The 12109-nt window shown below is 40.2% G+C and overlaps 1 protein-coding gene and 1 long non-coding RNA gene across 15 annotated transcripts in view; one reads left to right on the plus strand and one right to left on the minus strand.

The window, feature by feature from the left end:
• The window catches only part of MAPK10 (mitogen-activated protein kinase 10), a 583670-nt gene that overhangs the window by 97432 nt on the left and 474129 nt on the right, over nt 1-12109 (minus strand). The gene's annotated exons all lie outside the window — the stretch shown is intronic.
• Nucleotides 11970-12109, plus strand: part of MAPK10-AS1 (MAPK10 antisense RNA 1) — a 100121-nt gene continuing 99981 nt past the window's right edge. The window contains exon 1 of the long non-coding RNA NR_110879.1: nt 11970-12047. This is a non-coding gene — a long non-coding RNA (MAPK10 antisense RNA 1). The remainder of the gene's footprint in view (nt 12048-12109) is intronic.

The following is a 12109-nucleotide window of genomic DNA, read 5'->3' on the forward strand; positions in this document are numbered from 1 at the left end:
TACCCATTCACAAGAACCAGGTGTTTTGTTTGTTATTGTTTTTTAGAAACAGAGTCTTGCTATGTTCCCCAGGCTAGTCTTGAACTCCTGAGCTCAAGGTATCTTCCTGCCTCAGTCTCTTTAGTAGCTGTGACTACAGCCACATACTATGTCACCCAACTAAGAACCAATTTTTAAGATGTGATGTTAATTGCCATAAAAGCACTGGTGGGCTGATGATCAAAGTGTACTCTCATTAACAATAACAAAGCTCAAAATAAGAAATGCAATCAGAGAGTTTTAGAAACATAAATAACTGCATTTAAATACAAAGACAAAAATAAATGCTATTCACATGTGAAGCTTTCACACCGAGATTGAAAATTTACAATGCTTTGAAAAAGCTATCTAAATATTTGGTGCTATTTCTCTCATATGCAGAGTACATGAGTTTAGAGATCAAATGAGAAAGTGAGAGAGGCTCTTTTTGCCATTATACCTAATGATGCACTCACAAAATATGTGACCCATCCCTGAAACTTTGAGTCCTGCTGGGTTTTGTCTTAGTTGTCAGGAGGAAATGCAAAACCAGAATCCACTACAACTGATCTACTAAATTAGAAGTAACATTGACCATTGAAGCCTCATGCCACAGAACTAGGGGCAAAAAATGGAATTTCTGTACTGTAAGAAAATGATAGATTCACAGAATAAGGTTGAAAAAAGTCTTAGAGTTCACCTGGTCCATACTTTCATTTAATACTCATTCCTCTCTAAAATATGTCCATGAAAAGTTTCACCAGTCTCTGTTTGCCCACCTCCAAAAACATGGAAATCATTATATCTAAGCAGCTCTTTCTATTGTTCGGCAGCTTTGAGAATAGAAATGCCATCATTCTAATAAACAGAGTTATCTTTCTGCAGTTTCCACTGACGACTGTTAGTCCTGCCTTCCAGGGCAACTCAAAATAAAATGTTTCCTTTCCATTATTAACCATAATATATGAAATCTATTAAAAGGCTGCACACAATGCGTGGCCTAGAGTCAACACTCTTAACTCTTAGCTTTTAGCATTTTTCCCCTAAGTCTTTACTTTCTTAAATTAAATATTACCAGTCCCCTACCATCACTTGTCAGATGTGGTTTCAAGTCCCGTTACTATCTGGTCAGTTTCCTCTGAATAAACTCCAGTGTGTCAATATGCTCTGAAAATGTGGACCTTGTGCTAAATAAACATTGCTACTCTGGGTATAGAGTGTTACTGAAGATTAGGGTAGAGCTAGTAACTCTCTCATTCATTCCTTTGCTCATTCATTCAACAATCCTGTTCTGACATTGTTTATACAGCTAAGTCTGTCCTGGAACTCTTTAATAATGACATTCCACACTATTCTTTTTCACTTTTTAAAAAAATTTATTTTATTTAAAGTTCCTGGGTACATGTGCAGAATGTGCAGGTTTGTTACATTGGTAAATGTGGGACATGGTGGTTTGCTGCATCTATCAACCCATCACCTAAGTATTAAGCCCAGCATGCATTAGCTATTTTTCCTGATGCTCTCCCTCCTCTGCTTCCTGGCCCCAACGGGCCCCAATGTGTCTGGTTCCCGTCCCTGTGTCCATGTCTTCTCATTGTTCAGCTCCCACTTATAAGTGAGAACATGCAGTGTTTGGTTTTCTGTTCCTGCATTAGTTTGTTAAGAATAATGGCTTCCAGTTCCATCCATGTCCCTGCAAAGGACAAGATGTCATTCCTTTTTATGACTGCATAGTATTTCATGATGCATATGTACCACATTTTCTTTATCCAGTCTATCATTGATGGGCATTTGGGTTGATTCCATGTCTTTGCTATCGTGCATAGCGCTGCAATGGACATATGCATGCAAGTATCTTTACAACAGAATGATTTATATTCCTTTGGGTATATACCCGGTAATGGAATTGCTGGGTCAAATGATATTTCTGGTTCTAGGTCTTTGAGGAATGCCATACTGTCTTCTACAATGGTTGAACTAATTTACATTCCCACCAACAGTGTAAAAGCATCCCTATCCGCAGCCTTGCCAGCATCTGTTTCTTCTTGACTTTTTAATTATCACCATTGTGAATGACATAAGATGGTATCTCATTATGGTTTTGATTTGCATTTCTCTGATAACCAGTAATGTTGAGCTTTTTTTCATGTTTGTTGGCTGCATAAATGTCTTCTTTTGAGAAGTAACTGTTCATGTCCTCTGCCCCCTTTATATGAGGTTGGTTTTTTTCTTGTAAATTTGTTTAAATTTCTTGTAGACTCTGGATATTAGACCTTTGCCAGATGGATAGATTACAAAAGTTTTCTCGCATTCTGTAGGTTGTCTGTTCAGTCTGATGACAGTTTCTTTTGCTGTCCAGAAGCTCTTTAGTTTAATTAGATCCCATTTGTCCTTTTTTGCTTTTGTTGCAATTGCTTTTGCCATTTTCATCAGGAAATTTTTGCCCATGCCTATGTCCTGAATAGTATTGCCTAGATTTTCTTCTAGGATTTTTATAGTTTTGGGTTTTACATTTACTTCTTTAATCCATCTTGAGTTAATTTTTGTATAAGGTGTAAGGAAGAGGTCCAGTTTCAATTTTCTGCATATGGCTGGTCAGTTTTCCCAGCACCATTTATTAAATAGGGAATGCTTTCCCCATTGCTTGTTTTTGTCAGATTTGTCAAAGATCAGATGGTTGTAAACGTGCAGTCTTATTTCTGAGTTCTCTATTCTGTTCCATTGGTCTATGTATCTTTTTCATTTTTTTGTAACATTACCATGCTGTTTTGGTTATTGCAGCCTTGTAGTATAGTTTGAAGTCAGGTAGTATGATGTCTCCAGCTTTCTTCTTTTTGCTTAGGATTGTCTTGGCTATTGGGCTCTTTTTTGGTTCCATATGATTTTTTAAATAGTTTTTTCTAATTCTGTGAAGAATGTCAATGGTAGTTTAATGGGAATTGCATTGAATCTATAAATTACTTTGGGCAGTATGTCCATTTTCACAATATTTGTTCTTCCTATCCATGAGCACGGAATGTTTTTTCATTTGTTTGTGTCCTGATTTCCTTGAGCAGTGGTTTGTAGTTCTCTTTAAAGAAGTCCTTTATGTCCCTTGTTAGCTGTATTCCTAGGTATTTTATTCTCTTTGTAGCAATTGTGAATGGGAGTTCATTCATGATTTGGCTCTCTGCTTATCTATTGGTGTATAGAAATGCATGTGACTTTTTCAGATTAAATTTGTATCCTGAAAGCTTGCTAAAGTCACTTAGCAGCTTAAGGAGCTTTTGGGCTGAGATTATGGTGTTTTCTAGATATAGGATCATGCCACCTGCAAACAAAGACAATTTGATTTCCTCTCTTCTTATTTGAATATCCTCTATATTTCTTTCTCTTGCCCGATGTTCTGGTCAGAATTTCCATTACTATGTTTAATAGGCATGAAGAGAGAGGGCATCCTTGTCTTGTGTCAGTTTTCAGGGGGAGTGCTTCCAGCTTTTGCCCATTCAGTATGATAGTGGCTGTGGGTTTGCTGTAAATGGCTGTTAATATTTTGAGGTATGTTCCTTCAATACCTAGTTTATTGAGAGTTTTAACATGAAATGATGCTAAATTTTATTGAAGGACTTTTCTGCATCTATTGAAATAATCATGTGTTTTTTGTCTTTAGTTCTGTTTGATGTGATGAACTTCATTTATTGATTTGCGTATGTTAAACCAGCCTTGCATCCTGGGGATGAAGCAAACTTGATTATGGTGGATAAGCTTTTTTATGTGCTGCTGGATTCAGTTTGCCAGTATCTTATTGAGGATTTTTGCATCAATGCTAATCAGGGATATTGGCCTGAAGTTTTCTTTTTTTTGTTATATCTCTGCCAGGTTTTGGTATCAGGATAATGCTGGCCTCATAAAATGAGTTAGGAAGAGTCCCTCCTTTTCAATTGTTTGGACTAGTTTCAGAAGAAATAGTACCAGCTCCTCTTTGCCCCTCTGGTAGAATTCAGCTGTAAATCCATCTTGGCTTTTTTTGGTTGGTAGGCTATTTATTACTGCTCAATTTCAGAACTCGTTATTGGTCTATTCAGGGATTCAGCTTCTTCCTGGTTCAGTTTGAGGAGGGCATATATGTCCAGGAGTTTATCTGTTTCTTCTAGATTTTCTAGTTTATTTGTGTAGAGTTGTTTATAGTATTCTCTGATGGCAGTTTGTAGTTCTGTGGGGTGATAACCCCTTTATCATTTTTTATTGTGTCTATTTGATTATTCTCTTTTCTTCATTATTAATCTAGTTAGTGGTCTATTTTATTAACTTTTCCAAAAAAAAAAAACCAGCTCCTGATTCATTGATTTTTGTGAAGGATTTTTCGTGTCTCTATCTCCTTCAGTTCTGCTCTGAGCTTGGTTATTTCTTGTCTTCTGCTAGCTTTGGGGTTTGTTTTCTCTTAGTTTTCTAGTTATTTTAGTTGTGATGTTAGGGTATCAATTTGAGATCTTTCTAGCTTTTCAAAGTGGGCACTTAGAGCTATAAATTTCCCTCCTGACACTGCTTTAGCTGCATCCCAGAGGTTCTGGTATGTTGTCTCTTTGTTCTCATTGGTTTCAAAGAACTGCTTGATTTCTGCCTTAATTTCATTATTTACCCAGGAGTCATTCAGGAGCATGTTGTTCACCTTTCTCGTAGTTGTGTGGTTTTGAGTGAGTTTCTTAATCTTGAGTTCTACTTTGATTGCACTGTAGTCTGAAAGACTGTTTGTTATGATTTCACTTATTTTGCATTTGGTGAGGAGTGTTTTACTTGTAATTATATTATTAATTTTAGGGTAAGTGCCAGTGGCACTGAGAAGAATGTATATTCTGTTGTTTTGGGGTGGAAAGTTCTGTAGATATCTATCAGGTCCACTTGATCCAGAGCTGAGTTCAAGCCCTGAATATCTTTGTTAATTTTTTGTCTCGATGATCTGCCTAATATTGACAGTGGGGTGTTAAAGTTTCCACTATTACTGTGTGGGAGTCTAAGTCTCTTTGAAAGTCTCCAAGAACTTCTTTTATGAAACTGTGTGCTCCTGTATTGGGTGCATATATATTTAGGAGAGTTACCTCTTCTTGTTGAATTGAACCCTTACAATTATGTAATGTCCTTCTTTGTCTTTTTTTTTTTATCTTTGTTGGTTTTAAAGTCTGTTTTTCAGTAACCAGGATTGCAACCCCTGCCTTTTTCTGCTTTCCATTTACTTGATAAATTTTCCTCTATCCCTTTATTTTGAGCCTATGTGTGTCTGTGCACAGAGATTGGCCTCTTGAATATAGCACACTGTTGGGTCTTGTCTTTTTATCCAGCTTGCCATTCTGTGTCTTTTAATTAGGGTATTTAGCCCATTTACATTTAAAGTCAATATTGTTATGTGTGAATTTGATCCTGTCATCATGATGCTGGCTGGTTATTTTGCAGGCTTGTTAATATAGTTGCTTCATAGTGTCATTGGTCTCTGTACTCCAGCGTGTTTTTGTAGTGGCTGGTAATGGTTTTTCCTTTTCATATTTAGTGCTTCCTTCAGGGGCTCTTCTAAGGCAGCCCTGGTGGTGACAAATTCCCTCAGCATTTGCTTGTCTGAAAAGGATTTTATTTCTCCTTCATTTATGAAGATTAGTGTGGCCAGATATGAAATTCTGGGTTGGAAACTCTTTTCTTTAAGAATGTTGCATATTGGCCTCCAATCTCTTCAGACTTGTAGGGTTTCTGCTGAGAGGTCTGTTGTTAGTCTGATGGGTGTCCCTTTGTAGGTGACCTGGCCTTTCTCTTTGGCTGCTCTTAACATTTTTTCCTTCATTTTGACCTTGGAGAATTTGATTGTGTGTCTTGGAGTTGATCTTCTCATAGAGTATCTCACCGGGGTTCTTTGGATTTCCTGAATTTGAATGTTGGTCTGTCTTACTAGGTTGGAGATGTTCTCCTGGATGATATTTTGAAGTATGTTTTCCAACTTGCTTCCATTCTCCTCATCTCTTTCAGATGCTCCAATCAGTCATATGTTCGGTCTTTTTACATAATCCCATAGTTCTCAGAAGTTTTGTTCATTCCTTTTCATTCTTTTTTCTCTAACCTTGCCTGCCTGTCTTATTTCAGCAAGATAGTCTTCAGGCTCTGAGATCCTTTCCTCTACTTGGTCTATTTGGCTATTGATACTTGTGGTTAAATTGTGAAGCTCTTGTTTTGTGTTTTTCAGCTCCATCAGGTCATTTATGTTCCTCTCGAAACTGGTTATTCTAGTTAACAGCTCCTGTAATGTTTTATCATGGTTCTTAGCTTCTTTGCATTGGGTTAGAACATATTCCTTTAGCTCAGCAAAGTTCGTTATTACCCACCTTTTGAAGACTACTTCTGTCAATTCATCCATTGCAGTCTCACCCCAGTTCTGTGCCCCCACTGGAGAGGTGCTGCAATCATTTGGAGGAGAAGAGGGACTCTGGCTTTTTGAGTTTTCAGCATATTTGCATTGATTCTTTCAAATCTTCATGGGTTTTTCTACCTTTGATCTTTGAGGCTGCTGACCTTTGGACGGGGTTTTTGTGGGGTCTTTTGTTTAACAGTATGGCCCAACTTCCATAGGGCTGCTGTGGTTTACTGGGGGACCACTCCAGACCCAGTTCACCTGGGTCCCTCCTGCACTTGGAGGTATCACCAGTGGAGGCTGCCAAACAGCAAAGATGGCTGCCTGCTCCTTCCTCTGGAAGCTCCATACCAGAGGGGCACTGAGCTGATGCTGGCCAGAACACTCCTGTAGGAGGTGTCTGGCAACCCCTGTTGGGAGGTCTCACTCAGTCAGGAGGCACAGGATCAGGGAACTGTTTAAAGAACCAGTCTGACTACCCCTTGGCTGAGCAGGTTGGGCTGTGCTGGGGAGAATCCCCCTCATCTGGACTGCCAGCAGGCAGGAAAGACTAGGTGCCCCCAACTGTGAGACTGTGGCCGCTCCTCCCCTCAGGGGCTCCTTCCCAGGGATATCAGAGTTCTGTCTGAAAACCCCTGGCTGGAGATGCTACAATTTCTGCAGGGAGGCCCTGCTCAGTGAGGAGGGATGGATCCAGGTTCCACCTAAAGAAGCAGTCTGGCCACGATCTGCCACAGCCACTGTGATGTGCTGCTATGGGAAATTCCTCTCAGTTCAAACCACCCAGTCTCCCTGACACCAGCAGCGTAAAATGGCCAACTGGAGTTGCAGTGATGGTGACTGGCCACCCCTTCCCCAGGCACTCGGTTGTATTAGGCATTGTCCAGCCTGCTGCTACTGGTTGCAACCCAAGCAGGTGGCACAGCTCTGTGCCTGGAACCAAAGGCCTTGGTGATGTGGGCCCATGAGGGGATCTTCTGATCCACAGGATGCACAGATCCATGGAAAAAGCATGGTTTCCCAGGCGGGGCAGCGCAGTCACTCACCACCTCTCTTGGCTGGGTGTGGGAGTTCCCCTTATCCCATGCAGCTCCCGGATCATTGCTCCACCCTGCTTTTCCTCACTCTGCATGGGTCATACCAACTGCCTATTCAGTCCCAGTGAGAGAACCTGGATACGTCAGTTGATGGAGCAGGATTCACTCACTGTTTTCATTCTTCTCAGTGGGAGCTGCTGACTGGAACTGCTTCTATTTTTTTGGACAGTTTTGCTCTTGTTGCCTAGAATGGAGTCCAATGGCACGATCTTGGCTCACCGCAACCTCCGACCCCTGGGTTCAAGTGATTCTCCTGCCTCAGCCTCCTGAGTAGCTGGGATTACAGTCATGCGCCACCACGCCCAGCTTATTTTGTATTTTTAGTAGAGACGGGGTTTCTCCATGTTGGTCAGGCTGGTCTCAAACTCCTGACCTCAAGTAATCCGCCCATCTTGGCCTCCCAAAGTGCTGGGATTACAGGCATGAGCCACCAGGCCCGGCCTGGAGCTGCTTCTAATCAGCCATCTTGGCTCCTCTCCCTCCATCCCACCCTATTGACTCACAGTGAGCCTGTGTTAATTTAAAATACTGTCTCTTAAAAATCTTGTGCTGCTCTTACACTAATATGTCAGCACTGGTGCTTCTGTGCTTGTGTTTGTTCTTTTTCACCTACCAATGGCAGCACAGATAAAGAGCCAAGTGGGCATGTTTCTTATAGGTAACATACAAGGGCAACAGTGGATTTGGAAACACAGGAATTAAACTTACTGTCTAAAGTTAAGTCATTGTATTGGCAGAAAATTGATCCATCACCTCAAAGACAAGAACTAAATCTTAAGCCAAAATTAACTTAGCTGAAATTATTAAAATATCAAAAGAAAGAATGGCAATCAGTCATGAAGGCATATAAGGGAGTTGGAGAGGCAAACTCTGGCACTTCTTGGCCAAATAAGAAAGTACCTTTCCATGTAGGTCTAGAGATCCTGTCAGCCAACCAGATGGACACATTCATATTGTGATTGTCAGAAACTACAGCCAGTTAGCATTCTGATCAGAGTCTCCTTGGGCTGATTCGATCCTCTACAGCCAACATTATACTAATCAAGACTTATTCAACATTATACTAATCAAGACTTTATATGTGTATAAGAATATTGTCTATATTTGGTCAGCCTGACTGTTACATCTTTCATAATTTCAAAAAACGGGCATCTGGTTTTATATGTGAGATGGTAGTGAGGATTGTCAGTGTAAGTTTGAGTCCCTGAGATATTGACCAGATCATGCAAGACAGTGGGCCATCCCCCTATCTCATGTGGAATAACTGAGAAAATCCCACCCTGTGGGGTTTCTTGGCAGGCAAAAAGCTAGACAGTTCTCCTGGAAACGTTGTGGCATTCTCCCTCTGTCTGGTACTTCCTCCTCAAAGCAATTTTAGGTATGAATGTCAGCCCTGCTGCTTACTAAATGTGGGCAAGTCATTTACACTTTCTGACATCAGTTTCCTCATACTTAAAATGAAGAGAATAACAACTTGACAAGCTTGCTGTAAGGAGTAAAAGAGTTAATAATGTATAAATAGTGCCTCACCTAGAGTGAGCACTGAGTAAATGATGGCTATTACTATTTTTAAAATCAATGTTCTTCCCAGATTCATTATGTAGGACAGGATAAAGCATTAATTCCTACAGCATAGGCAACAATTGGACACATATCTGCTAATCAGTAGTTCTTTAGTCTTTCTGCTAATTACAAATACATTCAACTGTACCACCATCATGACCACATTTTTCAAGTATATCCCATGACATCATAAAATACATCTTCCAAAAAGACAAAAAGCTTTGTTAAACTTTAAATACATTATAAGCTGGGCACAGTGGCATGTGCCTATTGTCCCAGCTACCCAGAAAGCTGAGGCAGGAGGATTGCTTGAGCCCGAGAGTTCAAGACCAGCATGGGCAACATAGTGAGACCACCCCATATCAATAAAAATAATAAATACACGCATACATACATATATACGCTGTAGCCATACAGTTCTCTGGCTTACCACTTTAATAAACTATCTGTATGATTTGTTTTTAACAAACCCCCTATTCCCAGTGATCACTACACCCTGTCTTAATGGTTCACAGGGTATCTTTTCTAACCAATACAAGGACCAGTGTTGAGTTCAGGAGGTGTCTCTTATAAGCTATCCCTTCCTCTAAAGAAATAAGAACTTTTGGCTGTCTTGAATTGTGTGGATACTGTGGTTTGGTTTACTGAACTTCCATCTGACTCTTCTATGTCATACCTTCCTATATTAAAGATAAAACTTCAGAGTTAAGTGTACAATTCCCAGAAGCTTTTGCAGCTAGCACTCTGGATCCAAGTAAGATCCTGCAGATGCACCTATGAGCGATTTGTAATGCAGAAGTGAGGATTATCAGCATCTTCTGACATGTCTTATTTGGGAAGCAAGGTCTTGTGGAGATGTGAGGTTTTCTTCCAAAGCAATAATTCATGTCATTCTCTAGATTCCTGGTTAAGAGGAGGAGTGGAAGCAGAGTCCCCAATGAACTCCAGGTTCCACTCCCCCGTTCACAGCATAATAGAGTAGCCATGGCAACAGTAAGTGCATAGTTCCAGCTCTATGATTTCCTATCTCAGCTTTGATTGTATGTTCTGGAAATCTGATGGTTCTAGGATACTCTCAGAGGTGGGAGCTCCCTGGTGATTCAGCTCTTGGGTGTCTGGGAGTCATTCAAGGTAGCCCAGAGTACAGCCCACTTCTCCAGGCCTTCCTGTAACTGCAGGCACCCATTTACAGCATTTAATCTCTGCTGCTTAAAATGCTTCTGTCTTCTGCCATGAACCTTGGCTGACACTACAATCTTTCCCATTTTCTGTAATTCCTCAGTGATTACTGGCAGAAGTTTAGCAAATACATCTGCAAATTGGCATCATTGATGCGGTACAGTCACAGATTCATGTCTGAAAGTTTTCTATTACTCTTGAGTCATCTATTTTTCCAAGAATCTTGGCCTGTGGAATCTTACTTTTTTTCTTTCAGTATTTTTTTCTTTCTGCTATCTTTATGCAGGTAAAAATGGAGATAGGTCTTTATGAAGATTTTTCCAACAATTCTCCAGCCACACTGCTGAAGATTTTCCAGCAACTTCTTGGCATACAGTACTAACACACCTCCACTTCTACCAGGTTTATTCCTAAAAGAGTGATAGAGCTTTCTGCTGTTATGCTCCTGTCATTTAATTCAGCTTGATGATGCTATAAAGCTATGTTTACCTCCTTGTATGTATTTATATAAATACACATACACACACACACACACACACACACACACACACACACATCTCTGAAGGCAAATCTTGTTCTCAATATATTTATCAGGTATTTTTTTCTTCTGACAATTGCAGATAACCTCTTACACAAATGTTCTTCTTCCTAAGTCATAATCATTTATTTGACAATTTTTCTTGTTCCTCTTTCCCTTTACATTTAAAATGTTTGTAATCATATTAAATATTTGTGGGGGAAATCCCTAAGCATTACTGGAGCATCTTAAACATCTTAAATCATAGCCTGGCAAACCAAATTCTTTAATAAGAATCATGTTTTTGAACCTGCCAAATTCACTTCTGCCTTAGGATTCTGCAATTGTTCCCCCTAACAGGAATGCTCTTCTTGCATCCTCACTTGGCTAACCCCATTTGTGATTCAGATTTCAGCCCAAATATTATCTCCTCAGAGAGGCTTTTTTTAGTTTTTCTATCAAAAGTCAACAGTTGATTTTTTTGGTTAATTATTTTGTCATTGAATGGTTTGGCTGTACAAGTTTGGTTATATTTGTTGAGAATACTTTCAATTACAAGTAACAGAATTCTGAATAATAATAACTTAAGTAATAAAGATATTCATTATATCATATAACAAAGTATAAAAGTAGGCTTATCAAAGTTTCAGAGATGCACAGTGATTTTTGAGGGCCCTACGCACTTTTGCCTTCGATTTTCTGCAAATTTGTTCTCAGCATGTTGGGAATAAAAAGCCAATAGGGCCGGGCGATGTGGCTCACGCCTGTAATCCCAGCACTTTGGGAGGCCGAGGCGGATCACGAGGTCAGGAGTTTGAGATCAGCCTGGCCAACATGGTGAAACACCGTCTCTACTAAAAATACAAAAATTAGCCAGGCGTGGTAGCACGCACCTGTAATCCCAGCTACTCAGAGGCTGAGGCAGGAGAATTGCTGGAATCCGGCAGGCAGAGGTTGCAGTGAGCCACTGCATTCCAGCCTGGGTGACAGAGCAAGACTCCATCACAAAAAAAAAAAAAAAAAAAAAGCCAATAATAGGAGAACTCTATTAATGTATCCAAGGGCAATGGTGTAGGTGCTGTGATGCAAGAAGATTCCCTGTCAGGAATAAAGGGCTTATTATGTCAGATGCTAGGTGTGCTGCCAGCAGACAGCCTCTCAGCTCTTAGCCCCCTTTGAGGATGACCTCAGCTGACAAAAGCTGCCTAACCTAGCCTACACACTCTTCATAGGTAGCCTTCATTCAATGACTGATGAACATGTGGTTATAAAAGCCTGGCCACTTCACCCCAATTCAGGACAGCTGGTAAGGCTCATTACCTCTTCAGAACTCCCAATAGGGTCAGCAGAGGCTTCTATTGAGATTGT

Source organism: Homo sapiens, chromosome 4, assembly GCF_000001405.40.
Source record: "Homo sapiens chromosome 4, GRCh38.p14 Primary Assembly".
In the NCBI taxonomy this organism is placed as follows: domain Eukaryota; kingdom Metazoa; phylum Chordata; class Mammalia; order Primates; family Hominidae; genus Homo; species Homo sapiens.